The 26,012-nt window shown below is 52.5% G+C and overlaps 2 protein-coding genes and 1 long non-coding RNA gene across 10 annotated transcripts in view, besides 11 other annotated features; 1 reads left to right on the plus strand and 2 right to left on the minus strand.

Moving 5' to 3' along the window:
- Nucleotides 1-1,449, minus strand: part of BIN3 (bridging integrator 3) — a 48,704-nt gene extending 47,255 nt beyond the window's left edge. For all 4 annotated transcript variants that reach the window (NR_156436.2, NM_001363046.2, NM_018688.6 and 1 more), the window contains exon 1: nucleotides 1,372-1,449. Coding sequence is in view for 2 of the 4 variants with exons in the window: in NM_018688.6 (NP_061158.1) it covers nucleotides 1,372-1,379 (8 nt within the window). In the remaining 2 variants the exon portion in view is untranslated. The remainder of the gene's footprint in view (nucleotides 1-1,371) is intronic.
- Nucleotides 1,149-1,308: a silencer, noted in NCBI's record as "silent region_19005". NCBI's record gives its function as "represses an Ori minimal core promoter by ATAC-STARR-seq in GM12878 lymphoblastoid cells {active_cell/tissue: GM12878}" and the evidence as "EXISTENCE:reporter gene assay evidence [ECO:0000049][PMID:35858748]".
- Nucleotides 1,149-1,801: a biological region, named in NCBI's record as "H3K27ac hESC enhancer GRCh37_chr8:22526357-22526986".
- Nucleotides 1,172-1,801: an enhancer, noted in NCBI's record as "H3K27ac hESC enhancer chr8:22526357-22526986 (GRCh37/hg19 assembly coordinates)". NCBI's record gives its function as "activates a minimal SCP1, AML or CMV promoter by ChIP-STARR-seq in naive H9 embryonic stem cells {active_cell/tissue: H9 hESC(naive)}" and the evidence as "EXISTENCE:reporter gene assay evidence [ECO:0000049][PMID:30033119]".
- Nucleotides 1,559-1,618: an enhancer, noted in NCBI's record as "active region_27084". NCBI's record gives its function as "activates an Ori minimal core promoter by ATAC-STARR-seq in GM12878 lymphoblastoid cells {active_cell/tissue: GM12878}" and the evidence as "EXISTENCE:reporter gene assay evidence [ECO:0000049][PMID:35858748]".
- Nucleotides 5,308-6,157: a transcriptional cis regulatory region, noted in NCBI's record as "candidate enhancer chr8.740 targeted for multiplex CRISPR interference". NCBI's record gives its function as "positively regulates CCAR2 gene expression with high confidence in K562 cells {active_cell/tissue: K562}" and the evidence as "EXISTENCE:mutant phenotype evidence [ECO:0000015][PMID:30612741]".
- Nucleotides 7,719-20,031, plus strand: LOC107986924 (uncharacterized). Its single transcript, XR_001745827.2, has 2 exons — nucleotides 7,719-17,115; nucleotides 18,619-20,031. It is a non-coding gene; the product is annotated as an uncharacterized LOC107986924 (long non-coding RNA).
- Nucleotides 19,987-25,808, minus strand: EGR3 (early growth response 3). Of its 5 annotated transcripts, XM_011544429.3 has the most exons (3): nucleotides 24,827-24,905; nucleotides 24,630-24,682; nucleotides 19,987-23,810 (listed from the first exon to the last, which is right to left on the minus strand). In XM_011544429.3, exons 2-3 carry the CDS (start codon nucleotides 24,667-24,669, stop codon nucleotides 22,801-22,803), a joined length of 1,050 nt encoding a protein of 349 aa, XP_011542731.2. In that variant the 5' UTR covers nucleotides 24,670-24,682; nucleotides 24,827-24,905; the 3' UTR covers nucleotides 19,987-22,800. The 5 variants fall into 5 exon arrangements, with proteins under 5 accessions (XP_011542731.2, NP_004421.2, NP_001186810.1 ...); NM_004430.3 differs by lacking the exons at nucleotides 24,630-24,682; nucleotides 24,827-24,905 and adding an exon at nucleotides 25,119-25,808; NM_001199881.2 differs by lacking the exon at nucleotides 24,630-24,682.
- Nucleotides 22,606-23,511: an enhancer, noted in NCBI's record as "H3K27ac-H3K4me1 hESC enhancer chr8:22547791-22548696 (GRCh37/hg19 assembly coordinates)". NCBI's record gives its function as "activates a minimal SCP1, AML or CMV promoter by ChIP-STARR-seq in naive H9 embryonic stem cells {active_cell/tissue: H9 hESC(naive)}" and the evidence as "EXISTENCE:reporter gene assay evidence [ECO:0000049][PMID:30033119]".
- Nucleotides 24,232-24,427: a silencer, noted in NCBI's record as "fragment chr8:22549417-22549612 (GRCh37/hg19 assembly coordinates)". NCBI's record gives its function as "represses an EF-1alpha promoter that drives an FKBP-Casp9 reporter gene in an ReSE screen in phorbol 12-myristate 13-acetate-treated (for megakaryocytic differentiation) K562 erythroleukemia cells {active_cell/tissue: K562(+PMA)}" and the evidence as "EXISTENCE:reporter gene assay evidence [ECO:0000049][PMID:32094911]".
- Nucleotides 24,838-24,907: a silencer, noted in NCBI's record as "silent region_19006". NCBI's record gives its function as "represses an Ori minimal core promoter by ATAC-STARR-seq in GM12878 lymphoblastoid cells {active_cell/tissue: GM12878}" and the evidence as "EXISTENCE:reporter gene assay evidence [ECO:0000049][PMID:35858748]".
- Nucleotides 25,770-25,889: a silencer, noted in NCBI's record as "silent region_19007". NCBI's record gives its function as "represses an Ori minimal core promoter by ATAC-STARR-seq in GM12878 lymphoblastoid cells {active_cell/tissue: GM12878}" and the evidence as "EXISTENCE:reporter gene assay evidence [ECO:0000049][PMID:35858748]".
- Nucleotides 25,770-25,997: a biological region, named in NCBI's record as "ReSE screen-validated silencer GRCh37_chr8:22551019-22551182".
- Nucleotides 25,834-25,997: a silencer, noted in NCBI's record as "fragment chr8:22551019-22551182 (GRCh37/hg19 assembly coordinates)". NCBI's record gives its function as "represses an EF-1alpha promoter that drives an FKBP-Casp9 reporter gene in an ReSE screen in HepG2 liver carcinoma cells {active_cell/tissue: HepG2}" and the evidence as "EXISTENCE:reporter gene assay evidence [ECO:0000049][PMID:32094911]".

Raw genomic sequence — 26,012 nt, forward strand, 5'->3', positions numbered from 1 at the left:
GCCCCTTATTGGCCTCCTGGAGCAAATGGTGGAGGGAAAAGCAGAAGCTCCTGCCGGGGCTTATTAGGACATTGCTTCAGGCTTTCCTCCCGTGCTTGCGGTGATTGTCTGACATTTGTCCATCAATCTTGGTCTAAGAAACAGGTGGGGGAGGGGACAGATGGTTCGCATTTTACTTTAGAGAAGTATCCCTGACACTGACTGATATCAGCTGCTTGCGTTCTCCACTGATGGCCAAAATTAAGCTTCAAAAGCCTTCCTGAAGGACATTCTGTTATCTTAATTCATTCATAACTGGTTATCATGCGCTTTGCATAAACAAACACACTAGCCTCTGAGGACAGAGTGGCAAATATGTTCCCTATGTCCATGGGCTGATTAATCTTGTACATCTCTGGGGCTCAATTTATTCACACACTATAGTTGAATCCCCTGAGGTCCAGGGTTGTGGCTATATAGGTCCTTGGGCCTGACGGTAAGGTAAGGTGCTGCATATGAGTATTCTCTAACCTCTAAGAAAGCCCCAGGAAGGCAGGCAAGTCACAATTCTCTCCTGTGAACATAAATAATCGAGAGCAACAAATGGGGATTGCCTTTTGGGCAAACTGAGTCTTACAAAATAAATACACCATTATGAAGTGTCTACTATGACCCAAGTATCACATCATACTGCAGCAACTGGAATTGTGACTCTATTACTCTAAGACTCCCTGGCTTCTTTTCTCATGGCATGATAGTTCCCATAAGTTTAAACTTAACCATGCCTATTTAGAGGGCAGGCAGTGAGTAATAGCTCTGGAATGATTAAAACCAGTCCAATCCCACAGTGGAAGGGTGTGTGCGGAGTGTAATTCTGGCCCCTTTAAAAAGAGAAGCAAGTTTTCCTTGTCTTTTGAAGCCTGCTAAGTCGTGCAAAGAGGATAGTTACCCAGAAGGGAGTGGGTTTTGATTAGTGAACTGGGTCCAGGCTGCCACAGCGAGGGCCACAGCTCTGGAGGGACTGGCGCGGGGCAGAGATGCCCACAGGAGAGAAAGACGACACTGACTCCACCTCAATGGGTGTTTAAAAAAGGAGGGAACAAGGAAGTCCCTCACTTCAAGGAGCTAGGAGGACGCGAGTCCGGCAAAACGGGTCAGACGCGGAGTCCCAGGCTAAGAGGATCATCCGCCACTCTCCCCGGGAGTCCTGCTGAGAGACTGCGACTCCGGAAAGCACCGAGGGAACGACCCTAGGGCAGGGGCTGTCGGGCCTTGCTCTGGGGCGGAGGGGTCGCGCGGGACCGGAGGGAGCCGGGACGCGGCACTGACACAGGGCCAGGGGCCTCGCGGGTCCGCGGGTCCAGCAGCTCCCGCCGCCTGGGCCTCACTCACCAGCTCATGGTCCCGAACCTGCGTCTGCCGCCGGGGTCCTCAGCCACAACTCGTTTCTCTAGGGTCACTTCCGGATTCAACCAGTCTCCAGGAAGTGACGTAAGCCCGCCTCTCTGCCCGGAAGAGGCGGTTGGGAGGCGGAGCCCGGCGCGTTAACCCTTCTGCTGCTGCGTGCTCGCCGCGGAGTTTCCCTTGCCGGCGACTCTCTGGCTCTGGCCAAGCGCTTAGACACACAGGCTGCAACGGGGGATGAGGGGAACCTCTGGGGGCGTTTTCTGCCTTCAACACTGACTCCTAAAGATCTCTTCACCTGACCATGCAGGGCCCTTAGCCGGGCTGTCCCCTCTGTCAAGTGGTTTCTAATCCAGAGACAGTGGCAGCAATTGTCTGTGGGAGAAGAAGCCATTTGGGATGGAGAAAGTGGAAAACTTACATTCTCTGAATGCTCTTTCCTATCTTTTACAGTTTGTACACCACACATGCATTACCTGTTACAAACAAACGGACGTTTCCCTTCCAAGATGGCACAGGGCTCTGAATATCAATAGATAGGTGCTTTTCAGGTTGGAATGTTTCCTAGAGTTATTCAACACAATAAGACGCAGAGTATGAGTTGTTCCCTGCCTTTCAGCCCTTCCCTTTGGTCTCCTCTACAGGACTCAAATGATGTAAATTGCCCCATTCGTTCTATTCCTTCATTTAACTAATACTAGTTGCACTAATATTAGTGTCAGGTACCGAGCCAACCTTAGGATACAGCTATCTCAGAGAAGTATCTGCCCTGCTCTTGTTCCTTCCCAGAGCTACTTTCCTGGAGGGAGAGACAAGCAGGCAATTATAATCATGCTATAGGATAGGATAGAATGAGGTGTGGTGGCAGCCTAGAAGGGGACCCTGAAGTAGCACATGGGGTTTTGGGGAAGGCTTCCAGGAGGAGCCAGTGTGTAAGCCAAGCCCTGAAGGCAGAATCGGGGCTAGCCAGGTGAATCTGAGATGAGGGGTGACGAGGCTCCAGGCAGAGGGAACTTACCATGGCTAAGACACAGACAGGACCAAGCAAGCAGCTGACTTGCCTCGGGTCTCCCAAAGTCAGAATTCAGGGCCTTAGTGGCTCACAAGTTGCCTGGGATTCTGGGCCGACTTGGTTTCCTCACCGCTAAGTACCTCCCTGCCTTGGAAGAGAGACAAGAAGGCAGTGAGGCCCGTGCAGGTGCTGCTGGGCCCCCAGTGACCTTCTCTCTAGGAATTCTCCTTCCTCAGATGGACCGGGATTGTTTCAGGGACTGCTTAGGGGGTTGCTAATCAATGACCTAGCGGGAAAAATATGACCAATGACCTAGAGCAGAAGTAGTGTATGATTTGTTTTGACCTCCTAGGGTGGAGTAGAGGGCTTGAGCAGGAGAGGTAGGAGGGTGGGCCACAGGATGCAGTCTCTCATTTGTGTTTTCTGTTTCCATTCTTGAGAGTCCATAGTTTGACTCAATTGACGTTTCCAATGGAGGTTGGATCCCCAAGCACATCATGCAGATCAGCTTCATTACCATGTTGTTCCTCAGGAAACAGGCCAAAATGAGCACAAGAGCAGCCTTGAAGAGTAAAGAGGAAGAGCAGAAGTCACCAAAGGGTAGCCTGGGCAGAGAGTGTGGGTAAAGGGAAAGAGAGAGTCCTTGCTGCTTTGCAGAGAGTGTGACGGATGGAAGGGCTGTTGTGGGTTTAGGAGCCTCCTGGCAGTTAGCACCTGTGAATAGTTTTCCCACCTGCTTCCTCCCTTCCCCATGTTCTGCCTCCCTCAGTTATGCCCCACAGGGATAAATATTTCCAAACGTTTTAGCCTAGGTAACTGCTATATCCTAGTAGAAGTCTGTTTCAGGGCTGGAGGGCAGCAGACACATCCTAGAGGACTAGAATGGATAAGTTCTGGACTACAAGTCTGGAGGAGTCTGCGGCTCTATTTCCAGTTCAACCTTTGACACTATAACTGACCTCAGATAAGTCACATCCCCTTTGTGGCCTTAGTCCCCTCATCTATAAGATGGAGTGGGTAGATCACATCCCAAAGTATCCAACATTGCAAGGTTCCAAGTCAGCTGTCTTGTTGACTCTAGAGGCCCTAGGGAAATAGGAGAATGGGAAAGGCAGGTGAACAGAGGGGCAAGCCCAGAGAAGTGGGCAGGTCTGAGGAACTGGTGATATCTTGGATAAAGCTAAATATGAATTTTTCTGGGGCTGTGCTGTTGACAGGTCACCTCGAAATCTTTAATGCAGCCAGCAGGATCTTTGAGGTTACTAAAAAGAATGGTGTCCTCCCAGGAGTCTGTCTGGAATGTGCCTGCTTGGTCTCCTTACCTGTGGCTCATTCGCTCAGCTAGAGGGGCACTGGGCTGAGGAGGGACAGTCAGGCATCCTGCTATCCTGTGTTCCTCCATGAGCCTGCTGTGCCATGAGGCATTGATCCCTGGGGAGCTGAACATGGAGACACACAAACACTTCCCACTGTTGTGAAAAACTCAGCCTGCAGGGTCGGGAGCTATGTCTTTCTTATTTATAACCAAAGGGACAGCATGATACAGATTGATCCTGCCCCTGCAGGGAAGGAATGGAAAAGAGAAAATTGGGTTTCTAAGTAGAAGCTGAGAGTGGAGGCGCTTTGGGTAGAGGTGGATACTCCTGGTTTCAAGCCTTGTAAATACTGATTCTTCCCCAGAAGTCTGAGCCTGAAGGTAAAAGACTGTTCAGGTGGCAGAGGTCTACTTCTGGGACAAAGCTGTTTACGAGGGGAAAAGCAGCAGCAGAACCTGCTCCACCATCAGCCCCCAACTTTTCCTTGGAGGTTTTTGCTCAGAAGTTGGTAAGCAGGTGCTTCCCACTGACTCTCATCTCTGGGATTGTCATGTCCTGTCTCTCCCAGCCTTTCCCACACAGAAGTCTAGGGCTGGCCCCCGAGTCTTTCACCATGCCAACCTCTTATTAGTGAAGAGTGAGCATTCCCAGAACCTGGACCTGGGCTGTCAGGGACTTCATTATAGCACTGGGCTAAGGCTGAAAAACTGAATGTGATAGGGCCAAATTGGTGGGCTCAGCTCTCTTGGAGCCCTAAAGGTCTTGATTCCTCAGGGAGGCTCCTGCAGATATTCAGACACAGGCCTCAGGTTTCTCTGTGGCCTCACTGCCCCACTTCTCCCTACTCTGTACCTGCTCAGTAGGACGTCTCAGAAAAATAGCTTTCCCAGGGCCTTTGGGGGGCAAGGACATAGGAGGAGGAGCAAGGGTGGGAGAAGAAGGAGGAAATCAGGGTGAGATTTCCAGTGGTGGGAGGCCCACACGGACTGCTCAAAGGTCAGGGTGAAGTGACACATCAGAAGCCAGGACAGCAAGAAGCGAGCAGAACCAGGAACGCCTGTCTGACCCGTGGCTCTGCCTCCAAGTGGCTTGAGGGAGTCTTGTCCCTCCTCTGGGCCTCATTTTCCTTGACTGCAATGGGAAAGGTCCAGGTTAGATCTGGGAGGGCGAATGGATATCATCCCATGTGCCAACTCTGATTGTCTGCTTGGAATGCAGTGTTGAGGATTCTGGGGAATCTGCCATCAGTGGGGAAGTTCTATGATTGATTAGTCATGTCTGCCTTGGACAAGAAAGAGCGATGAGATGGTTTATATTCCACTTTATTGTTATTATTTTTATTATAAGTTAACAATAATTGAGCACTCATGACATGACAGGCACTATTCTCTGCAGTTCACATTTAATCCTTGCCTCAACCCTGTGAGGTGGATACTACCATTATTATCATTTCACAGATGATGGCGCTGAAGTATAGCCATGAAGCAATAGTATAGCTTCATGAAGCAGTGAAGTGGGGTTTCTGACCTGAGCACCCTGGCTTTGATCCTTATGCTTTTGCCACTACAGTTTGCCATTTGACCTCCAACAACCTTTGGTTCTGTCAAGGCACAGTGAGGTCAGAAGCCAGCAGACAGATGGAACCAGGAGAAGCACCGCTACTAAATGGCCAGGTTGTGGGTGGAGGGAGGGCCACCCTATGACCAGGGTGCCAAGCTCAGCCTCATCCTGGGAGCTTTTATATGCTTCCTCCAGTACGGAGAGTGCCAGGCCAGCAGGTGGCAGCACCGGGCAGGGTGACAGGAAAGGGCAGCTCCTCACATGGCATGGACGTCCTTCAGGGATCAGAAGGCCCAGATGCTGGGGAAAGCAAGAACAAATGCGGGTGTGGAGGAAGGATAGCCAAGGACCCAGAGGAGGAGGAGTCCTGGCCTCTGACCTGCAGGAGCTGCCACAGCCAATGCTTTGGTTCCACCCAGCAGTGCAGGCCTCTCAGCTTGCATCTCGTGGTGCCTGCTGTGGGCTTTTTTTTTTTTTTCCTCCACTCTGGGAGAATGACTAACTTTAAGGACTAAAAAAAAAGTGTTTTGATTACACTGCCTTTTTACCAACTGGGAGCATTAGTCACCGTGGATTGCTGCAGATAACGGGGAAGGCAAGCAGCACCCCCTCCTCCCCCTCCTTCTCTCTGATTAGCTCACAGAAACCAGGAGGAGACATGAGTGAGGGAGAGTGCACCAGTAGGGAAAACAATCCCCCCGGGTTGATATGTTCCCTGGGCATCAGGCCAAGGGCTGTCCAGGCTGGGCTGCCCCCTGACAGGTAGGCTCTAAGATGGCCCCAGACCCACAATAGGAGGTACCCACTGGAGAGAACTGGCAGTAGGACCACTGAGTCCAAGGCTCCTGAGATTCTGAGTTGGGTCTGGATGGTCTGTTCCTCCAGGTAGCTCCAGGGCACACCCAGAAGGGGAAGTCAGAGGAAGTCACTGAAGACACAGCTCCTGAGCTGGGGCTCAGGATGTCTGTGATGTGGAGCTCATGCCAGGCTGTGGTATGGCTAAGGCCGCTGCCTTGAGCTGGGGCCCTCATGGCTCTACCTGGGGTTGAGACATTCCTGGCAGGTGAGGTTGGTGCTCATGCCCCACTCCCCACCCTTTGGCCTTCTCCCTTCTTCTCCATCTCCATGGGGCAGTATCTAGTACTTTTGGCTGATGTTCCTACCCAGTGCGGCCCTCTTTGCTCCCACCTTGGTGCTGGTGGGGCTGGAGAGCTGAGGTTCCAGTCTAGCCTGTTGGTGCAAGGTGTCAGAAGTGGGAGCTCTGGGCCCTGCTGGGGAAGGCACTGAAGCAGGGAGAAAATGGTGCTGGGTTGCCTGGTTGCTTTGGGGGCAGGCTGACCTTGTCAGTCCTGGTCTTTTGGCCCACCCCTTCATCCCATTCACCACCCACCCCCAAATGCTTCACTCTGGAAAGCAGACATTTATTTATCTGAATGGCCTTTCAAGTGACAGGGCCATGAATATTTGTGTAAAGAACTTCAAGCATTAGGACAAATAACCTTTTTACTGTAACAGGAAAGGAAGAGACAGAAACATAATTCGATTTCTGCATCTCTCAAGATCAGAGTATTTCATCTGGATGTTGCTGCTGCTGACTTTCTCTTTGGAAAATAAAGTAGTCACAGGTATTTGGTGTGCTCTGGCCTCAAAAAGCTTTTATGGTACCACCTTACAGGAAATGAGGTCAAAAGAGTGGGAGTGGGTGCTCCTAGATGGAGAAGGTCTGTGAGATGCCCCACTCCCAGCCTCCAGAATCTTAGCTGCCATAGAGAGTGTCCAGTCCTGGGGTTGCCTCTGGTTTGTCCGCTCAGCCCCGCTTTGCGTTCCTGGGCAACCTAGAGCTGGCGTATGGATGCTCCCAACCCCCGTTCTCTGCCCTTTGCAGTTCCCGATAATAATACCCACCATTGTAGAGTCTCATTGGCACTGGGTGAAGCATTTTACATGTATTAGATCGTGTATTCTGCAGTAACTTGGTGAGGCAGCTCCTCTGATCATCTCCTTTTTACAGATGAGGAAACCGAGGCTGAACTAATTGCCCAAGTTCACAGAATTGGCTAAGTGAGAAGGACAGGCATTTAAACCCAGGCTGTCTAAACCCAGGCTGCCTTGGAGCAGAAAATAATGTAGCAAAAAGGGAGGAAGCTAGCGTTTATAGTAGACTCACTTTCACAGTCATTAGCCCTTGCTGCCTCCTTGAAGGAGGAGGATGAGGCCTGGTGGACTGAAGGTCAAATCCAAGTCCCTCTTGATTTGGTTGTTGCTCTGTCCAGAGGTCAGCAGCCAGGGGGTATCCCCTGACCTCGGAAGGTAGTATGGAAGAACAGGGTTTGGGCTGTGTGTGGGTGCATAGAATAGCCTCAGGACTTTTGTCCCCTGGCTGGGATAGCCATCCACCCCCATCTGAAGCCACAGAGTGTCCCAGGTGAGCATAGCTTCTAGGAACGCATGGCTTTCCTAGGGAATCCTTGCAAGTCCCACGCGTGAGCAGCAGGCCTGGGGAGAGGGCAGGACTGCCCCAGCCTGACCTTGCTGCAGGCCTGGCTGCCCAGCGTCCACCCCCTGCTGCTGTGGTGGAGACAGCCCCCAGACACCGGCAGGGCAGGTGGCAATTATCCCCGGGCACTGATTACACCACAAGGCCGGCAGTGCCCTAAATAGCCCAGGAGCTCAGCCTGGGGGAGGAGAAGGGTCCCGCTGGGAAGGAAGAGGCAGAACCAAGGGATGCATAGTGTGGATGTGTCAGGAAGGACAACGGGGGGCTGGGGGAGGATTTCATGCCAAGGCCAGCACCTTTGGGGCAAGCCAGGACCCTCAAAGAAAGGGATGAGGTTCCGCTGCAGCAGGCTGGCCTAGAGAAATTAGATGGGGCACATGCCAAATCTGGTCACAGTGAAAAGGTGGTAACCAGCATGAGGGGCATGTGGAGAAGGCCTCACTGATGGATAGGAGGAGACAGTGGTGCCACTGAGGCCAGGCCGGCTGCAACCCTCCAGCCCTGGCCTGCTGTACCTCTGGACTGATCAGGAAGGAATCCCCAAAGAAGGCACACAGCAGGACGGAAGAGAGGCCAAACAAGGGCAGGAAGGCTCCCGGGGGCACCAATTCCCTCTGCCAGGAAGGTCAGACCAAGCAACTTTGGTCCGTGGTCCCCTTTTCCAGCCTCAGCCATCCTTTGCTTTTCATGGAACTGCAACTGGCCAGGCCCCAGGGATGGCAGCACCAGCAGAGGGGCCCTCCCCTGGGGTCTTCTTCAACCAGAAACAAGTCAGGCAGCGGTGGGCTTCAGAGGTTGAAGGCCTGTGGCGGGGGGCCTCATGAAAGAACTATCCTCAGGGCAGGGAGGCCTGGGTTGCTGCCCCCTTCATTTCTTTCTTTCTTTCTTTTGTTTTTCTTTTTATCCTTTTGAGACAGAGTCTTGCTCTTTGCCCAGGCTAGAGTGCAGTGGCGTGATCGTAGCTTACTGCAGCTTCGACCTCCTGGCCTCAAGCGATCCTCCCCGCTCGGACTCCCAAAGTGCTGGGATTACAGGGAAGCTCAGTTTCTCAAGCAAGTGCTGGGATTACAGGGAAGCTCAGTTTCTCAAGCAAGCTGTGCCCTGTAGGCCCTTGGGTGGCATAAGAGGCAGGCTTCTTTGGGAGTCTCTCTGACTGCCCCCAACCCTGAAGCTGGATCCTTTTGAGGTTGCTTCTCAGCGAGCAGCATGAAGGCCCGGAACAGCCGCGTGGGAGGAGGCATTGGATACAAACAAGGGAGAAGAGAGGCACCCCCTCTCACCATGCACCCCATTTTTCTTCTTGTATAAGCACCAGTTCTTCTGTATTGGCCCCCTTCCCACGTGGAGAGCCTATATCTATTGCATCTTCCCCACCTGTCAGCCAAGGGAGGGGGCTGAGCTGCTGCCCCCCCATTCCAGAAAAGCTACAGAAAGAAAGCCAGGCCTGAGGTTGTTCCCGATATTTACCAATGTGGGCACAAGGCAGGCTCAAACCTGGTTTCCCAGGGGTCTCTAATTGAAGAGGTCATGGTGACCCCATGGTGCCCAGTGCCTGCACTCCTTCTTGCCATCCCAGAGGACCCAGCGCCCATCTGGCAGCGCCCGCTCCAAAGCCACCTATGAGTTCCCTGGACCCAGGTCAGGAAAGGAGGCTGTCAGTGGCTCCAAACCACCTCTTGCAGCAACTCTGCTAATCCAAATAAGATAGGGAAAAGGCAGTGGGAGGAAATGATAGTTTCATGGTTATTTTCAGAAAGGAAACAAAAAAAAAAATGCAAACAGGAGCACACCCTGCATTTTGGTACAAAATCTAGGAGTCTCAAGGAAAAGAACCCACAGTTCTTCCTTCTTCTTGTCCTCTCACCAGATGCTGGGGAGGGGCTGCCCGGGCTGTGGGGGCCTTGGGCTGCTTTTGCCTGTAGGGAAAGGGAGATGAGGGGCTGCAGGAAGCCAGCAAAGACTCTTCCTGCAAAGGCAGGCCTGGAGAAGCTGAGACATCTTAGTCTTGTGGGCAGACAGGGCCCACCCTTTGCGGGTGGAGGAGTTGGAGAGATGGAGTGGAGGGAGCAAGTGGGGAACTGGGAGATTCTTGAGCTGATGCTTGTAAAGCGCAGTGGCATGTGTAGGATTGGTGGGCTGGGAGGGTGTGTTCTGGGAGCACAGCTCAGAGAGAGAAATAGAGAAGGGGGAGGGAGAGCAAGAGAGCGTGTGCTCGTGGGAGAATTGAGTAGGGCTGCTGCCTGCATGTGTGTGCAGGGCGTGCACAAAGATGGGAGCCGCAGAGCCCGGGCTGTACACAAAGGATCGTCCAGGGCCCTGCCAGCTCCAGAATGTTGTGCGAACCAAGGACAGAGCCTGGCTTCTTGTCCCCAGAGGGAATCTGGACCTTGCTGTCTAACCTCTGGGTTTCCCTGGACAGTGTGGGGTGCAGCAGGGAAGGAAGCGGTGGCCTGAACTTCTGGGGGCTTTGTCTGCAGTTCCTGTTTGGTGGCTGTCACAGTTGCCAAGACCCCAAGGGTGGGAGGATGTGGATGGGAGAGAGGTAGGAGCCAAGGACAGAGCCGGTGGCACAGAGACTAGAAATCTTAAGTGCCTGCAGATGAGGTGTTCTAAGAGTAAGGGAGAGAGAGGGAGCTGACATGAACAACCTAGGGGAGCTGGAGGAGGACCATGGGATAGTAGCAGCTCCATGTCCTCCCCTAGGGCGGGAGAGGTATCATTATCCCCCATTTCGCAGATGTGTCATCTGAGGGCCAGAGAGCTTCATTGCTGTGTCCAAGTTTCCATGACTGGTCACAGAAGGAGCTGGTGTGGGGAGATGGACAGTGAGCAAACTCAGGTGGGTGATTGGGTGGTCTAGTTGGTGACAAGGGTGTTCCGGGAAAGACAAAGTTAGGCTCAATACCAGGAAAATCCTGGTCCCAGGAGGCTGCCTCCATGGAAGGGTTGGAGGCTTCCCTCCCAGCCTGCCAAACCAGCCCAATTCCTGAGACCTGGGAGGGTTGGGAGGAGATGGAGGTAATGACTCAACTCATCCAACACAGGCTTGACCTAGGGGAGGTTGGGTAACCCAGCAGACGCTCCAGTGGGGTGAGGATTGGAATAAATGGGTGATGCTGGAGATAAGGGCGAAAGGGTGTGCTGGAAGGGAGGGGCTGCTGGTTCCGGGCAGAGTTTGGGAGGAGGATGGGGTGGGGCACACTTGGGCTTTGTGGATGAAAAGAGGGATGAGCTTCTAGGAGCACTGGGTCCTTTCCTGAGATGATGGAGGGACCTGTGGTGGTGATCTGGGAGGAAAACCCAGCAGGTAGGGCAGTGGTTCAGATGGTAGATTTAAGGCTGAAATCCCAAAACGGGGGACTCCCAGCAGTAGGAATTCTCAGGAGGGCCCCAAAGACAGAGATTCTGAGCCTTCTGGGGCCCCTGCTGCTCCCTCACTAGGGCAGGAGCTACATTCAGGAGCCTGCCACCCCCCAGGGCTTTCCAGTCCATGGAGAAGAAGTGATCCGAGTACCGCAAACCACTGCGAAGCATTTCTGGCATTGGGTTGAATGGGACCCCAAACCAGAGGATTGGATTGTATATCAGTTTCTATATATTTTTCAGGCAAATATGGGAGAAAATGGGTTTAAAAACACAATCCGAGATGCAAATGCAGTCACAGAACATGCCCCATTGGCTCAGGCCAGAAGAAACTGGAGTCAGGAAAAGAGGCCGGCAGACTCAGAGTCCCAGGAAGCCAATGGCGCCTTGGAGGCTCTTGGGAGGATGGAGCGAGAGAGCTGGTGCTTTGAGGCAACGGGAAGCAGGATCTTTGCATTTGAGTCTCATGCCAGCATTGCTGAGCCCTGGCTCAGTCCCCAGCTGTGAGATGGGGGTGGGTCTTGCACAGAGTGACAGTCTTGGGACTTCTGCACTTTAGGGCTGAAGATATCGTATGGATTCTCTAGTGGGACCACTTGATTTTCTAACAGGGACTTCAAGACCCAGAGAAGGGCTGTGACTTTGCAGATGTTATAGAGCTTTGTCCTCATGTTAAAGCCAGGACTAGAAGCCAGGTCTCCTGACTCCTGATGCAGTGCAGTACAGAGGGTGTACATCTGTTCAATGATCTACATCCTCATTGGATGGAGATTTCCATGTCTTAAGACCCAGAAAATGCAGTTTCTAACAGTGAAGCTGGGATTATTCCTGAGCTTGTCACCTCGGAGCCATCTGAATCCTGTGTGATCTTCTCACCTGATCTAATAAGAATAGTGACTGAGTTCAGACCGGGCTTCCAGCTCCACCTAGAAACGTCTCCCCATAATATATTCACCTGTCGAAGGAGAAGAGTATCGCCCACCTCCTCCTCCAACAGTCTTCTTTTGGCTTTTTGGAAAGGACAGCTCTTTTTCATAATTTACATTCGAGTGGATCCTCTCAACAACTCTGTGGAGAAGGGTATTATCCCCACTGTACAGATGGGAAAATAGAGGCTCAGCCAAGTTAAGAAATTCACTTAGGGTCTAATGCACAGGGAGAGGCAGTGCTGGAACTGGAGCCACAGCCTTGGTCTTTTGTCTGAGCTCTTCAACCAACAGCAAAGGAGAATCAGGTGGATGGGCTGAGAGAGGGGAAGGTGGAGGTTGGCCATGCTTGAAACTGTGGAACCTGACTCTAAGCACCTCAGGAAGAAGAGCACGTCTGGTGGGTTTCCTCCCAGCTCACCACCTCAGGTCCTGTGCTGAGGAGCTGGCGTCTACAGAGCCATGGTAGGTGGAGGTCACCTGGAGGGATGTTGTTCCTGTACCAAAAGAATCCAAAGATGGAGGCTCCCCGTATCCCTCCCCAAACCCCAGAAAACTCTGCTCTGTAGCAAGGAGAAGCAACCAGAATGTAACACAGGGACATGTCATCTGGGTTGGACAACTTCCACTAAGCCAGCTGGGCATACTCCAGAGATGCCAAGCTGCTCTGTTGTTTCCTGGGGCCTGTGGGCCACTGGGATTTTCTCTTTCTCCTCCAGGAAAAGGACAAAGAGTGAACAGCCCCACAGGCTAACTGGTGAGCACCCTGGGTTAGTTCTACTCTACCTAGAGTCCAACGGGATAATACATGTCCAGCCTTTAGCACAGCACTTGGCGCATAGAAAGTCCTCAGCAGCTTAGTGGTTTTGTTATTGATGTGGGACCTGAAAGAAGACTGAGATCCTCCGGGAAGCTTCCCTACACCACCCCATCCTTCCCACTTACCCCCAAACTCTGATTTAGGTGCCTTCCTATCAGAGTGAACCATTATCATGACACCAGTCCCAGTGTATTGAAATCATCTGTTTATGTGTCTGCTTCCCCGACAGAGCGTAAGATCTTCAAGGACTGTGTGTTGTTCATCTTTGGACTGTGTGACCACCCCACCCCCATGCTGAACACTGTACCTGGCTTAGTAGTTTTGCTAAATTCATGGATGAATGAATGAAATGTGAAGAAGCTCCGGATGATGCCAAGTTGCAAGGGAAAGCCAAGAACTGAGGGGAACTTTTGGGAGGCATGAAATGGAAGACCAAAAAAGGTGGGGAGAGGGAGGAAGAAATGTTTTTTTCTCAGGCATGAAACTGCCTAGGCTAGGCCATAGAAATGATGTTACTAGACGGAGATTTGCCAGAATCCAGGGAAATAGAGAGGATGTGGCAAGCGGTATTGCGGATCAAGTGATTTTTGGGCTCAGGGCCCGGGATATGGGTGAGAATGTGACCATATTGGAAGAACCTGACCATCCACCAGCTTTTTGCCAAGGGAGAGAACATGGTCAATCTAGCCACAGACAAAAGAGGGAGCTGGCTTTGCTGGAGCGATTTCTGAGAGATGAGGCCAAGGGAGATTCCCACTCCTAGGCTGGCCAGCAGGAAGAGTCATTCATCTCATTAGGAACTTGGCACGAAGGCAAGTGTCAACAGGAAGAGAGAAGGCTCTTGGTTATGGTTCTTGAAGGAGGCACTTCTGTCTCTCCTTGGCCAGGCTGGAGTTTAGGAATCATTGGTGGTCTTTGACATCTCAGATGTGAAAGAAAGACTAAGGAGACTGCAGTCAGGGGATGACAGAGCCGAGCAGAGGAATGGGGGCGTTGAGGGCTGAAAGGACATGGTACCTGCAGCCCAGGGCTGGCCTGGCAGTCCAGTTAGTACAGGTCGGGGCTCTGCTCAGGGGTCGTGGGGCCTTTCCCTCACTATTAGCCTTCAGCATTTTTTGCTTCTTTTGGACACATTCATTTCCTTTAAAGCGCTCCCGTGACCTGGTCCCATACTATCTCTCCGACTTCATCTCCTATTGTCACCTCCCTTCCTTTCCAGCCACTCTGCCTCCATGTTACTCTTCGAACTTCCAAGAATACCATGCTCTCCTGAGGACTTTTGCACCCAGACAGTTCTTCCTCAGATGGCCACGTGGTCCATCCTGTCACTTCCTGGGCCTGTGCTGAAAGACGCCTCCCTGTGAAGCCGTCCCAGATCACTCGTATGTGATTGTAATCCCCTTCTCCCAGTGCTAGCCGTTCTCCTTCCTCTGCTGTATTTTTCTCCATAACACACATCACAATCGGACACAACACATATTTGCTTGTTTGTTTTTTACCTGTTTCTGCCCTGGAGAAGGTAAGCTGTGACAATGCAGGCCTTTTTGTTCACTGCTATAACCCCGGTGCCTAGAAGAATGTGTTGCACATGGCAGGCCCTTGACACACATTTAAATAAATAAACAAAGCAATTAACCTTTCTGTGGGACCTTCCACTGATTGTCAGGATCTGAATTCTCACCTCTGCCCTTCCTAGATGTGTGAGTTTGGACAAGTCACGAACCCCTTTAGGCCTCTGTTTCCTTATCTGAAAAAGAGCATGTTGGACTAAATGGCATCTTAAAGTCCCTTATGGCTAAAATTTAGGGAGAATCCCTGAAGGAAGTGGGACCTTGAGGTAAGGGCCTGATGTCCATGATTCTCTCGCAGAATTAAAGCCCTGCATTCCATTAAAGCCCTGCATGCCACCTCTGCCCCCAGACCAGGCCTGGGCAGAAGCAGGGCCACCAGCCCTGCAGCTGGAAGCTAAGAGCTAGCCAGAAGGCTGAGGTCAAGGACTGATGACTAAGATGAAGGGAAAGAGATGGACGGGGCAGAACTGGGGCTGCTGCGTTTTATTTAAATCCATGATAAGGATCAGGAAGCAGGCAACAGCCCGATGACACATTAATTAACTTTGCAGATGATACTGGATCAGGAAGGTGTCCCATCCACCCATCTCAGCGAGAGAGATGGGACAAAAGGACCTGAGGAGGGGTCAGGAATTAGGCCAGGAAATTACAACAATGAACTTTGGCTGTGGCCAAGAGGGGAAAGGACTCATGTTCTCTCGAGTGGATTGGGGGTAGGGTGGAGAGGATCTATTTTCAGAACACAGATAAGCAGTGGATGGTAGGGGCTGGGAGTGGTGGCAGGGACCGCGAGGTCCCCTGGTTGTTTGAATTGATGTACTGATCCCCAGTGGAGACAGAGCCTGTTTTCTTGCCACTGTGTTTGGAGGAAGGGGACGGGGTAAGGGACAGGGAAGATAAATGACATTGATGGAGCACCCACCATGAACCAGGCACCATACACAGTATCTCATTTAAACTCCGCAACAGCAATGATAAGACAAGAGGAAATAATGGGTCACATAGACTAAGAAGTTTCTGAGAGTCACACTGCCAGAAAGTGGCAGAGTTGAGATTCAGATGTAGGAGGGAGGCGATGGTCCCAAAGTGGGTTAAGGGCCCCAGGAGAAAAACCAGAGTAGCTGCCAGGTTATCAAACTGCCTCTTCATTTTTAGGACTGAAACCTAAGTAAGTAACAAGTACCCAAAAGAAGACTTTCATTAGCACCCTGGGGTTCCACGGGTACTGGAAGTTTTCTTCTCTCCCTCCTGCTGGGACCAACCTGACCTTCCTAAGCAGTGCAGAGAAAGGAACGGGGAGGAATGGAAGACTGTCAGGCATCTGGACAATGTGGAGGGGTGACGCCAAGGAAAAAAAAGTGTGAGAGCTCTTGCAGCCTGTTGTGGAAAAGATACCAAAGGGCTCAAAGGCTCAGTTCTGTTCTGGCCACTAACCTCTCTGTCTTTGGTGAGAACAGGGTACTGATGGATTCTAGGTGAGTGAATGGTCACCTCTGGGGTGAGCCATTTCAGAGAATACAGGCCCATAGACAAGGATAGGTACCCCTGAAGAGGGCTTGGGGTGTGCCCGGACTCAAGGGTGACAGACATCTCTATTCCTCTAGGGAGCTGACAGCTGGAGGCATTCCTGAAACTCTAGCTAGGAACTCAGTGCGTGACCCAAAAGGGAATCCCAAACAACAAGTCTATGATTGAGCAGTCTGTTTCTGGTTGGGTCATGATGCCACAACAAACGGCCCAAGTAGAGAAGGCTGCAGGCCCTGGGCAGGCCTGGTGAGAAGGGCTGACCCAAAGGACAGCCATTGTGCTCCAAGCAGCATGAGCAGGGCTCAGGGGCACCATCGGAGCAAGGATAGGATCGGAGGGTGTGGAACCCGAGAGTTTCCCAGGAATGGGGTGAAGGAAGGGTTGATAGGAGCAGCACGGGGTGCCTGGGGGCCCGGGAAGGCATTTCTGAGGCCTAGAGGAAGGACCTTCGTCATCCAGGGACCCTGGGAGCAGAGCAGGGTCTCGGTAAACCAGAGAAGCCACACATGTCCTGAGAGAATGCACTGGGGGTCTCCCTGGAGGAGGCAAGACCCGGAAGCGGGTAGGCAGTAGGAAAGAAGCTGTATGGAATCACAGTCTGGCTCCCACCCAGCCTAGAAGTTAGAACATTTTTGTTGACATTCTTCTTGTTTGCAGCTCTGTAGCCATGTTCTGTTTGCATTAGCTCCCTGGTAAAATTGCTCAGAAAACATCCTTCTAGGCATCTGTGTGTTTGCTAGAGGGGAAGAAATAGTGTTTCCAGCCTGGGGTCAGAGGCTGGTGGTAGCCAGGAGAGGTGGTGGCAGGAACTGCCCCAATTCCAGGCTAGAGATGAACCAGCTGTGATGGGGATGGGGACTCTTCCGGAGCAGGAACAGTCAGGGCCTGGTCCTATCCTGCCCGGGCATGGACACGTCAGAGGCTTTATCGTAAATTGGGGAAAGCTTCATGACACTACCTCCCACCCTGGCCTACTCCTGTTCTCACATGGGGCTGTGAAAATGACCAATTTTTAAAAATATTAGAGATGGAGTTGATGGAAATATTCAAGCCAAAAGAATGGTGACACCTCAACAGCTGACGTGCTGGGAGAAGGCTCCAGGGCCAGGGGCTCTCCTGGCCTCTGCGGATGTCTGACTGGTGAGTAAGACTGTGTGGTCCATGGGGCTGACCCACGGACTGCTCTGATCAAGGGCCTTCTTCCCCTTCCTCTGGAGAACCCTCTCTTCTCCTCACAAAGAATGGTTATTCCGAAAAGAACCCCTTGGGATAGATCTTGGACTATGACCTATTTTTAAAACCCCATGGCACCTTTTAGACAGTCAGTTATTTCCCTTTGTCCTTAAGATTTTGCCAGTATGATTTCTAGCTCTTGGGACACACAGAGGCCTCCTGCTTTCCCCAGGCTTATTGTTCCAGAACACCAGGGAAGCCAATCAGGGCCAGGAGAAGGCAGCTCACAACCCCCTCATTTATGACAAGCAAATTATGGATTAGCAAAAGGAGATCAATGACAACTGGCCACGAGCTATTACCTTCATTCACCAGAATCCACCTTGCTATTCTTTTTGACATGCTTGTGAATAAAGACACACTTACACACTCGCCACTACCAGTTCCACCACACACCACACAAAAACGTATGCCATGCCTTGCCCCATGTTCTCTCTAAGTAGCTCATTTATACTCAACTCCAGTTCACCAAGTACAATTTTGCAAAGAGTCATCACTTTCAGTACACTACTCCCAAGTGGTGTGTGTGTGTGTGTGTGTGTGTGCGCGCGCGCGCGCGCGCGCGGGGAGGGGAGGGGGGCATCCTTTCATTCATCCCCAAACACCCCAGGGGTTCTTGGAAGGAGCTATGCCTCTACCCCTTCCCTACTTTGATGCCTGATTTTGCCCTAGGGCACAGGGCCTGTTCATTGCAAAGCCTCTACTGATTCCCTCCCATGATAGCCCCATCTAGGCCTTCCCTCCACCTTCTCCCTACTTCATCCCTGAGTTTCAGGGTTGAGTCTCCTCTCCCCATATTTACAAAACCCAGGTGGGTTGGGTAGCTGGTGTGATGCTATCTGGGACAGTCTTATCTAGCTACAAAGTGTGAATCAGTGATTACATCACACAGGGTTGGTGCCAGCCTGGCGGACTGCCATATTGCCAAGTAACCCAGTGGTTGAACCAGGTTGGGTTGAGTAATATCCACCAATGGATAGTGAGTTTGTTAATCATGCAGCATAGTACACTGTTGATGAAAGTGTAACACCGAAGGCCTGGTTTGATTGGAGAAGGTGCAGGTGGGGCTGGATGCTGACTATGAAGACAGTCAGGGACAGTATCTTCCTCCCATACTACTCACTTGAGAAATACATAGAAATCTGGAAGGAAACATCTAGTTTAGCAAAGAGATGGATTATATGCTCAATGTTAGGACCTTTCCGCCATCTTGGATTCCCTTTGTTAAAAAGGAAGGACACTTCTATGAGGCTATTGAAGCCACAGTCTGAAATTTTAGAAGTTTCATGAGGTAAGAGAAGGGAATTCAAGATGGCAGCCGGTGACCTAAAATTGTGTGGGTGGGAAAATTTAAGATTCCATACTGCATTCTCCTTCTTCATCTCTCACTTCAAAAACATTCTTTTCTAGGGCCACAGCCTACCTCCTACGCCCAGGTCTGGCCTCAACTTCTTGGTAACTATAGCCAACCAGAAATACCACCCATATTTTTCTCTGTGATGGGGCTGCCTTGGGGATGCCGAAGAGCAGTTTCTGAGCAGGGACACGACATTTCTGTTGCTTTGTGGCTGACCTGGTCGGCACCTCAGGGTCTGAGATACAGATTCCAGTCACAAGCTGGTGGGCCATTTATACAATCTGGTGGGGTATAGCGCAGCATTATACACCAAGCCCCTAAACCTGGGTGAAGCAGATCATATGTGAAATGCACTGCAGAGGAACCCAGGTGAGTTTTTTTTAGAGGGCAGGCGGGAAGAAGGGGAGAGAGCAAAGACTGACTTGTGCAAAGACAGCTCTACAACAAGCCTCAAGGGATAAAGCCTTCCAAGGACTATGGGGAACAAGGTGAGGGGTGCAAAATGCAGATGCAGACACAGGAAAGAAGTGGAGGTTACATTTTCCTCAAGAGAAATGGAGACAGCTCTAGGGCTGGCAAATTAAGTTAAGGAGGAGGAATGTTCTAGGGAAGACAGCTTGGAGGATAGGAGAAGCATTGCTTTTATGGGAGGTAGAAATCATAAGGTATGGCAGTTTGAGGCTATGCAAATATTCCCTGTGTGTTCTCCAAATCCCAAATGTCCTTTCTTCCTTTCAAGGCATTGGATCCCTGGGTCATTCATAGGAGCTGGTTTTCAGCGAGGTTCACCTTTACCAGGCAGCTCCAAATAGTGAGGCCTAGAGGAATCCCATCCAAGCGGGATTAAAATTATAGAAGTTTAAAACCTGATTTTTTTCCAGTTATCTGACCACAGAAGAGCTGCCAATCTCTCTGGTCATCTTGCCAACCCTGAAGAACCTCGGTCAAGTCTCCACCTGTTTTTCAGGCTTCAAAAGCTTTGGCAAGAGAACTACTCAGTGTGGCTGACAGGCCCTCCAGGGTCCTGTTCTGGCATTCCCTAAGACTGTCTCTAGAGAAATTGTTCATAAACCGGGAGATCTCCTCCCTTCTACCCCCAAATACCCATTGGAAGCTGGAAAGAAGGTTCTAGAAGATTCCCAGTCACCAGCCCTGACTCCCATGAATTTACCTAACCTGTTCGCCTAATCCCTCTGGCAGTGTGAGGCTTACAGAAGGGTGGAGGGGAATTCTATTCTCCTGGTACCACAGTAAACACTCAAAACTATTTGAAACACCAGAACCTTGCACAAAATTCTGACCTACTTCGAATAACACCAAGTTCCACATTTCCACTTTGAGAGTTTTCAGAGGAAGAACAGCAAAATTAGGCATAACAACCTATCAAACAAACCACCAGCCAAAAACAAACCAAGACAAAAAACAGGCCAAACTAAAGCTTTATGCTATAAAAACAAGAAATAAAATAAGGAGATTTATAGGCCGGCTGATTGTCAGCAAACACAATATATTTACTGTATTAGCATTTGCTCACAGTGCAAATGGTACAACATTACACCATTTCAATATTTCGGTTTTTAAAAATGCTGTTTTCATTAACTATATTATATTGGCATTACAATATGACAAAGGAGCAAATGAAATGTTGGTGAAGAATTTCACCTTTTCACAATATCAAGCATATTTTTTTAACCTTAGTATAAGGTACTATAAATCCAAGAAATAAAAACATCCACAAAATATATTACATCTGGTTTGTCTTTTTTCTAAGTACTCAACTTTATACAAAAGTCTTTCAAAAAATATCATTCCCCATAGGTTTTCCTGTTTAAAACCTGATTTTTTTCTCTCAGTTCACATAAGTTAGAGTGCATTTTCTTTTGTTGCTTTTTTTTTTTAAACATGCAGACATATAAAAAATCTGGATAGCACAACCTTTTGGCAACAAAGTTATTTTTCTCTTAGTTTAGCTTAATGTCTGAGAACAGTTTTATTAAAACAAAGGAAAACTCAATTATCATGCAGTGACATGCATATACCAGAAGGAGCGAGGAAAAAATATTAAAGGGTATCTGATTCCTCCTTCTAGCTTGGAAGTGACCAAAATTTTTGCTTTTTTAATAATCATCACATTATAAAAAGTATTCAGCAAAATACTGTCTCTGCAAAGAAAGATTTTACCCTTCAGCTGAAAAAATATGGGCCCTCCTGGCAAACTTCATCTTCTTCTCTCTCCTTCTACAAAAAGTCCAAGTACCTGGAAATTCACAACCCCCTGCTCTTCGATATCCCCCCTTTCCACTAGAGTCCTTTTAGTATTATTTATCCACCACCAAAAATCAAAACAAAACAAAACAAAAATGGTACTTCTTTTTCTTAAAAAAGAAAAAAGTGGAAAACGCATAAAGTGACTTTAAAAACAGACATTCTGTAAACTCCAGACCTTTGTTCCTTCTCTCTGGGCAACTTACTGACCACAGGAGAAGTAACGCTAACAGGAACAGTACATTCAGTCAAGACCATGCTGCAAGCTGTGGCAGAGAGCAACCTTCCCTATTACTCCACTTCAAAGGAGCCACCCTGTACGAGAAGGGCTGGCAGGACAGCTGGGGAAGAGGGGTGCCTGAGAAGAGGTGAGGTAGGGTGGGGAGAAGGTGAGACTGGGTATGGAAAGGAGACACCTCATTCATCCACATGGATTCATGAAAAAATCCCCATATCTTTGAGGAAATTTTGGACAGAGATGTGTATATGTGTATACACACATATCCATACATAGATGTGTATATGTGTATATATGTACACTCACATGTATATGTACAGATATGTGTGCATCTATATCCACACACATAACACACGTATGTAGATATAATCTCATCAGTTAACATTTTCATAAAAAATAAATCATTTAAAGCTGTATACGCCTACAAATTCTCTTTATTCCGGTGCACTGCACTGGATAACCAAGTACCTTAGAGATTTTATTTTGCTAGGAATACATATTGTGTGTATGTTATGTATATGTACGCATGTGCATCTTTATACACATGCATGCATATACATACACATACATACACACGCACACCATATACTTATATTTAAATTCTATCTGTTGTGTTGGTGATGACAAAGGGCAAAAGCAGAGCCAGCTTCCCCATGATGGTGGGAAGGAGAAATTGCTATGTAATTGAGAGAAGACACAAAGCTGGAGTGGCTGGTTGAAGCCTGCCTTTCTGGGAAAAGATTTTGAAAGAGATGGGAGAAGGTTTAGAGGGGAGAAGGGGAAGGAGTGGGAGGGCAGGGGGCAAACTCAGGAACATAGATTTCTTAGAGTGGGGCTAAGGAAATACACATATATTTTAAAAGGCAGGCTCAGCGATGGCTGCTCTTTCTCCCCACAGATCAAACTGCCCTGAGGCCTAAGAGGGAAGCGCTCAGAAAAGGAGGGGTTCTGAGGGGCCAAACCCGAAGCGGCGGCAGCAGCACCGCGTCGGCGGCATCCGAGGCATTTCTCTAAGAAACATGATTTCAGAGCGGATGGAAGACCACCTCCTCCAGCCACGTGCGGACCCCCAGCATGGGACATCTCCCAGCGGCTTGGGGACCCGAGGTGGGGAAGAGTTTGGGGTAAACACAGCCCAGTTCAGCTCAAGAGTCTTAAACACACACGCTTGCGCGCGCGCACACACACACACTCACACACACACATACACACACACGCGAGCACGCACACACTCGCGCGCATCCCCGCACGCAGGCGCGCGTGCGTGCGGCGGGCAGCAAGCTCTGCGCTTTGGTGCGCTCCTTACCCCCTCCCCCTCTCGAGTCTTCGAGGGGGTATAGAGGGAGACGTGGGGGAAACAATGAGGTGTTTGGGTCGGGCGAGGGTTGGATGGGCTCCGCCTTCAGTCCCTTGCAGGTCCTTGGCGCGGCCCGGCGGCCCCTGGATCAAGGCGATCCGAACTGAACAAAGCGGGCTAGACGCCACCTTTCCGCCCCCACGCCTTGGCTAAGTGGGGGACCGCGAGGGGAAGGCGCCTCCAGCCCTGGCCCCTGACCGCTGGCCGGCGTGAAAGGTTGGGAACCGGGGGCATCGAAGGGGAAGCAAGGGGCCGCACGTCCATGGAGAGGCCAGGGCGCGGCCCCTACGCCTCCGTGGCTGGCTTTCCCGCTGCTTTCAGGCTAGCAGCCGGGAGGCACTGGAGGGGAAAAGTGGGGATCTGGGGGCCCGATCCTCAGGCGCAGGTGGTGACCACGGGGGCCAGCGACACGGGGGGCGCCGAGGATGCAGAGGGTGCACCGCCCTTCTCCGCCTTCTTCTCCTTTTGCTTGAGGTGGATCTTGGCGTGGCGCTTGCGCTCGTCGCTGCGCGCAAACTTGCGCCCGCAGAACTCGCAGGCAAAGGGCTTCTCGCCCGTATGAGTGCGGATGTGAGTGGTGAGGTGGTCGCTGCGGCTGAAGCTCCGCATGCAGATCCGGCACTGGAAGGGCTTGTGGCCCGTGTGGATGCGCAGGTGCCGGGTCAGCTCGTCCGAACGGCTGAAACGGCGGTCGCAGCCCTCGGCCGGGCACGCGTGGGGCCGTTCGTGGAGCGGTGTCTTGCTAGGCCGGTTGGGGTACTTGCGGGGCCGGATGGGCTTGAGGGTGAGCGGCGGCTGGGGCAGGCTGCCAAAGCCCGGGTGGATCTGCTTGTCTTTGAATGCCTTGATGGTCTCCAGAGGGGTAATAGGGGGCGGGTTGACCCGGATGGGGTCCATGCCCTGGAAGGGCTTGTGCTCCGGAATGGAGCCCATGTCGTTGGGGTGGTGGTAGAGGTTGTAGTCAGGAATCATGGGGAAGAGATTGCTGTCCAACGCCGGCTTGGCCGATTGGTAATCCTGGGGGGAATAGGCGAGCCCGGGATTGCCCTGGGGGTCGTGGAAAGACACGGGCTCTGAGTAGAGGTCGCCGCAGTTGGAGTAGGGGGGTAGCGCGGGATACATGGCCTCCACGTCACCCTGCGGTGGCTGCACCATGCTGGCCGTGGACGTCTGCGTGCTGAGCGCCCCTGAAGCCGGGGGCACCCCCAAGATGCCGGCGCTCATGAGGCTAATGATGTTGTCCTGGCACCAGTTGGAAGGGGAGTCGAAGGCGAACTTTCCCAAGTAGGTCACGGTCTTGTTGCCGGGGGCTGGCTGGAAGGAGCCGGAGTAAGAGAGTTCCGGGTTGGGCTTCTCGTTGGTCAGACCGATGTCCATTACATTCTCTGCGGAGAGCGGGGGAGAGAGGGGAGGGGTGAGTGAAGCCGATCCGGCTCCGGGCCGCGGCGCCCAGGTCCTTGCCCAGGTGCGGAGGGTGCGGCCGGGTGGAGTGCGTAGCGCATGGGGTAAGAGGAACGCTGAGCCCCGCGCAAAGCGGGCGGTGCCGCGCTCCCGGGCGCAACCTGGATATAGCAAAATACTACGGATCGGGGTGTGGAGTGGCTGCTGCACACACAGCGCACAAGCCGCGCACACACTCACGTACCACACACACACGCGCGCGCGCGCGAGAAGCATTGTTGTTCTTCCCGAGGTGGGGCGGGCAGGTAGCTGCAGCTACAGGTAGTTTCAGACCCGGAGCGCGCTGGGCTCTCGCTCTCCACCGCACACAACTCGGCCTCTTCCCTTGGCCCTGTCCGCTCCAGGACGCCGCGCCTTTCCCTCCCCGGCGATGCCCCCCACGCGCGCTGCTCCCGGGTCGCCGACCCAGAGCGCTCCGACGCTTTGTCCTCGGAGCGTAGAAGGGTGTCGCCCTCAAAGGGAGCTCTCCCTTCACCTACCCCGGCCCCAGCCTCCTCGGGCATGAAGGAGCTTTAGGCTCTTGCTGGAGGGGAAAATCCTAGCCCCAGCTAGGGAGGGTGGAGAGCGGCGGAAAACCGGCCGGTGTCTCCATGGCGGGAGAGGCCGCCCTTCCCCAGCTCCCCGGCCCCGGGATCGTTCCCCGTGGCAGGCCCTCGCCCCGCGGGTGAACCCCCTCCTTCTCCCCGCCGTCCCCACACCCCCACGGCTTTGCTGAACGCCCCGGAAAGGCAGCGTCGCAGTACCTCTCCCACCGCGGGGACTCCACGCCGCACATGGCTCCATCCCGGGTGGGAGGCTGAGGGAGTAAGGGGGGAGAGCGCGGGTGAAAAAGACGCCGGGCTCCTCCCGGGAAGAGGGCGACAGCACCACGCCTTGCGCGTAGCCCGGCGATCGGGCCCCCTGCGTGGTGAGGGAGAACCCCAGAGCCGCTCGCACCTACCTCCCTCCGGTCGGCGGCTGCCCCCACCCGGGAGAACCGAAGCCTCTACCGTGGCGTCGCCAACCTAGCCTTCTCGATCGAGGAGGGCGGGAGGAGTGGGTGGGAAAAGCAACTCGCCCCCCGCAAAATTCCCAGCGCGCCCCCATCTCTCCATCCATTTATCTATCCACCCATCCACCCATCCATCCATCCATCCATCCATCCATCCATCCATCCATCACCAGGTCGTCCCCTCCTCCTCTTCCTCTCCCCTTCCTTCCTCGCTGCCTCGCCGCCTCCCCGCCGCCCTTACCTGTAGCCATCTGATTGTAATGGACTACCGAGTCGCTGCTGCCGGAGAAGAGGTTGAGCGCGCTGGGGATCTCCTCGGGGTACAGATTGTCAGGCAGTTGGTTTAGCAAACTGCTCATGGTCACCGGCAGCTTCTCGGCGAGTTTGCCGGTCATAGCACTCCCGAGCTGCCGCCGCCGCCGCCACCGCCGCCACCGCCGCCGCTCGCTCCTAACGCAGCTTCCAGGCAAGCGGCATCCGAGAGGCGATCCGTGGTGCAGGGGAAAAGCATGCGAGAGGGAAAGTTCGGGGGGAGGGGGGAGGGAAGAAGGGAAGGGATGGGCCAGGAGAGGGGATCTTCTCTTTTTTGGGGGGCGGGAGAGGGCCCCAGGGGGTAATCCTCTTGGGTGCCTCAGCTGGTGCGGTATGAGGCTGGGTCGTGGGGGGGGTGGGGCGTGTGCGGGGGGTGGGGTGGGGGCTGGGCTGGGGGGGGATCTCGGCTCAAGGGGGTCGGACGCGGCCTCAGTATTGATCTCACAAACAGACACGCGCCCGCCGCCCCCCCGCCCCCCGATCTGCCACCGCCACCGCCACCGCCACCGCCGCCGCCGCCGCCGCCGCCGCCGCCGCCTCTGCCGCCGCTGCCGCCGCTGCTACCACCACCACCAGCCCCGCCGCTTCCTAGCAAGCTCACTGCTGCCCAAAAGCTCCCAGCCAGGGAACTCCACCAGCCTATTTATCTGAGCCCCGGGAAAGCTCCGTGACGTAGCTGCCCATATATGGACAGACAAAGCCCAGCCGAAGGGGCGCGACGTCACAATGGAAGCTCCTCACAATGGAACATTAGAAAGCAGGAAGCGGGCCGCAGCCAACGTGCGGCGCCCGCACCGCTCGCGGCTCTTGAAAAAAAGAGAAG

The sequence above is a fragment of the Homo sapiens genome, chromosome 8, assembly GCF_000001405.40.
Source record: "Homo sapiens chromosome 8, GRCh38.p14 Primary Assembly".
Taxonomy (NCBI): Eukaryota; Metazoa; Chordata; class Mammalia; order Primates; family Hominidae; genus Homo; species Homo sapiens.